This window comes from Homo sapiens, chromosome 11, assembly GCF_000001405.40.
Source record: "Homo sapiens chromosome 11, GRCh38.p14 Primary Assembly".
Lineage (NCBI taxonomy): Eukaryota > Metazoa > Chordata > Mammalia > Primates > Hominidae > Homo > Homo sapiens.
In genome coordinates, this window is record NC_000011.10 from 116,562,698 (window position 1) to 116,566,364 (window position 3,667).

The window sequence follows — 3,667 nt, forward strand, 5'->3', positions numbered from 1 at the left end:
GTGTCTCATCACCAAAAGCAAGCAAGTATCTGGCAGGGATGCCCCAAGGACCCTCAGTTCCCTCTGGGTACTGCCATGCAAGCTGCCCTTGTCCAACACCTGCTGGAAGTCACATGTACATACCACCACCCAGATGCCCTGGAGTAGTTTCCAGTTCTGCAGCCCTCATCCTAGGAGGGGCTCCCTGCATCCAGCACAAATCCAGCTCCACAAACTCTCAAGGTATGAAGTACAATAGGAACAGTACCAGGGGGTCAGATGTGCAACAGACTGAGGGTTTGCAACACAGTCCGTGGGCCATGTTCCTCCATGCAAGTCAATAGCCCTAACCTGCAGCGGAAGCCACAGCCACGACCTCTTCGGGCTCCCAGCGTCTCTGCACATGTCAGCCACTCCCCCATCCTGTCCATGCCTCTCCTGCTGCCCACGCAGTCCCCAGGGCCACCTCTCTGAAGTGCTCTGGCCTCATTCATTATTCAGCCATTTCCTCAGTTCAGAGGCCCTAGGGACAGAGGGTTGGCTGTTTGTTCGCTCTTTCATCTCCCAGGTTGTGTGAAGAATGCAGAAACGCTGGGCTGGTGTCCAAGATGCCAACAAGAGGCTCTCAGTCCTGGGTCTGTGGGAGCCCTCATGCTGTATGCTCCAGGGCCCAACCCTCACAAGACTGTGCCCACTGGAATTACCCCACTGCCAGAGCATGTCCCCCTGTACATCACTGCCAGAGCAGGGTGGGGGCTCTGACCCCCACCCTGGGGAGCCACCACTCCACCCACCAATGCCCCATCCCTGCTTCTAAGTGACAGTGGAGCTGCGATTTCATCCCACCATGTCGAAGTCCAAGTGCCAGCTCTTTACAAGCAGTGAGTGGCCAGACCTGACTATTCTGTAAATAGCATGTGAGTCACCCAAGAATGAGCTTTGGACTGAAGGCAGCAGCAAAGCCTTTGCAAAGGCAGAGGGAGAAAGACTCCTCCTGAAACGATGTCAAGATACATGCCCACTCTAAAGCCAACACGGGAACCCGCTCAGTGTTTGTGCAGCCCTGATTCTGTGGGCTGCGTGGCAGGGGGTCGGGAGGCACAGGTCCTTCTAATGGTGCCACATATCATGGGACATGCGTATGGAGCCGTGACATTGCACTTCTTCCCTCCCAGGCTGCAAGTTCCTCTTTAGTCACTCAAGTGCCCCTGCCAAGAGGTACCAACCAGAAACTTAGCCTTCAGTCACCTGAACAAATACCAGGGTTGAGGGAGAGGAGAGATACAGGGTCAAATTACCAGACCCCCAAATACTCCTTATCCCTTTGCCTGTCTTGGATCATTTCCCCACAGCTTTGACCCTCCCACAAGATCAAAACTGGAGCCATCCATACACATCTCCAGCAGTCTAGAGGTGGATACATCTCCAGCAGTCTAGAGTTAGATGGGCCAGGATGAGGAGATGGGGCCAGCCTGGGCTGCCCCCCAGGCAGGTGGAATGATAACCACCATGGGCTCCCCGCTGCCTCAGACAGGGGAGGGTGCAGGATAGATGTGCCCCCAGCAGGGATGGCTCCCCATCATCTCTCCTGCCCCTGCACCCAGCACTTCAGAATCAGGCCAGGACTGTAGCCATGAACTGAGTTTTTGTCTCCCCTCTACAAAGACCCATTTCAGAAACAACCAAAGGGAACGTTAAAGAAGTCTCTCGCACCACTGCACTCCAGCCTGGGCGACAGAGCAAGACTCTGTCTCCAAAAAAAAAAAAAGTCTCCTGGTGAAGCCACCAAGGGCAGAGTGGAGGGAAGACAGGGTGCCAGGGATAACTGCACCTTTGGATCTCAAAATATAGATTTCCTCATAGAAATCTAGGGGCCCCTGAGGGCACCCAGGAGACCTAGGACCAGGTGAGGGCATCAGACAAGATCTCAAAAGTGTGACTTTTTTGTTGACTCCTACAGCCCAGGCTGCTTTCTCAGGACCTGCCTCCCGGGCCGCGTTCCTTCCCTGGCTCTCTTCTGTGCTTCCCACAGAAAGGCCTGGTCTTAGCACAGAGGTTGAGGTGAGAATTCTGGCTTCTGACAGGCCAGAAGAGATGATGCTAGCCTATTCAAGACTTTGTGGAGGTCCTGGCTGGGTGGGCATAGAGATCTGGAGCTTTGCAGAGGGCAGGAGCTGGAGACCCTCACCTGGGCCTTCCTAACGACCCCAACCTTCAAGCCCCAGGAGTCCTGAATTTAATAATACACTGTATCCAGGAATAATATGATTAGCTCAGCCTAGTCTGGCCTTCAGGGTCTAATCACGTACGCTTACCCCCGCCACACTGTTCCCTGCCAGAGCCGCTCCCTCTCTCCTTTACCAATACTCATTTTACTCTCAAATCCTCCCATGTTCAAGAATCAGCTGAAGTCCCACCTGGTCCAAGAAGCCCATTTCTTCTCTCCAGCCACTGTTGATTCATCCTTTTCTATCAGCCCAAAACATGTATTTTGGCACTTGACCGTATCCCATCTGGCAGTTCATTACATACTTTTCTTATACCTTTTCCCCATTTTTCATATACGTTGTTGGTCACATGTCTCCGGCCAGGCTGATGGTAGGGAGCCTTTCTCTTCCCTAAGATTCCCCAGCACACAGCCCACACCTCTTCACACGGCCACCCACCTCTGCCCAGACTACCACCATCACGCTATGCTGCTCCAGTCCATCCTGTGCAACTCTGCTCAATAATTGTCCTCAAGCAGCACTCTCATCATGCCATCTCCAGCTCAAAATCCATCCGCAGCTCCTCACTGATAATTCAGCAAAGCCCAGACTTGGACTTCCAGGTCCTCCATGACATGGCGCAAGCTCTGCCCAACGTTTCTCTATCATCCCTCTTCCACCTACACTGCATGCATCAAATACACTGATACCTCACCCAGTTCCCAGATACAACACCATTTCTTGTCTGGTGGCCTTCCTCATGCCATTCTTGCCACCTGGAACAGTCTTTCCTGCCACTGCCATTTATCAATTTCTTACCCATAGTTTGAGATTGGGCTCAGACACAAACTGCCCCCACTCAGGTCCACGCCAAGAAAAGGTTGCTCTCACCCCTGAACCCATGCTCCTCCTGGTACCTCCCTTAGGGTGTTGAACCGTGGCCTGCTTCTTTTCACACGGCCTTCCTATGCACTTGCATGTGCCCCTCCATGAGTGTAAACAACTGGGACAAGGACTGTCCTGTATCTCCACAATCCAGCAAAAGGAGGTCACCAAGTGTCTTAGTCAGCTTGGGATGCTATGACAAAATACCATAGACTGGATGGTGTCAACAACCAACATTTATTCCTCATATTTCTAGAGACTGGGAACTGCACACTCCAGGTGTCAAAAGATTCAGTTCTTGGTAAGAGCCCTCTTCTTGGCTTACAGATGGCAGCTTTCTCACTATATCTTCAAATAGTGGAGAAAGAGAGAGCTCTGGTCTCTCCTCTTCTTATAAGGACACTAATCCCATCATGGGGGCCCCACCCTCATGACCCCATCTAAACCTAATTACCCCCCAAAGAAAGGCCCCATCTCCAAATACCTTTACTTTGGGGGTGTGGGGGTGGAGGGGTAGGGCTTCAACACATAAATTTTGGGGGACACAAACATTCTGTCCATAACCCCAAGCCTTTCCTGCTTTCTCACATTTCCCA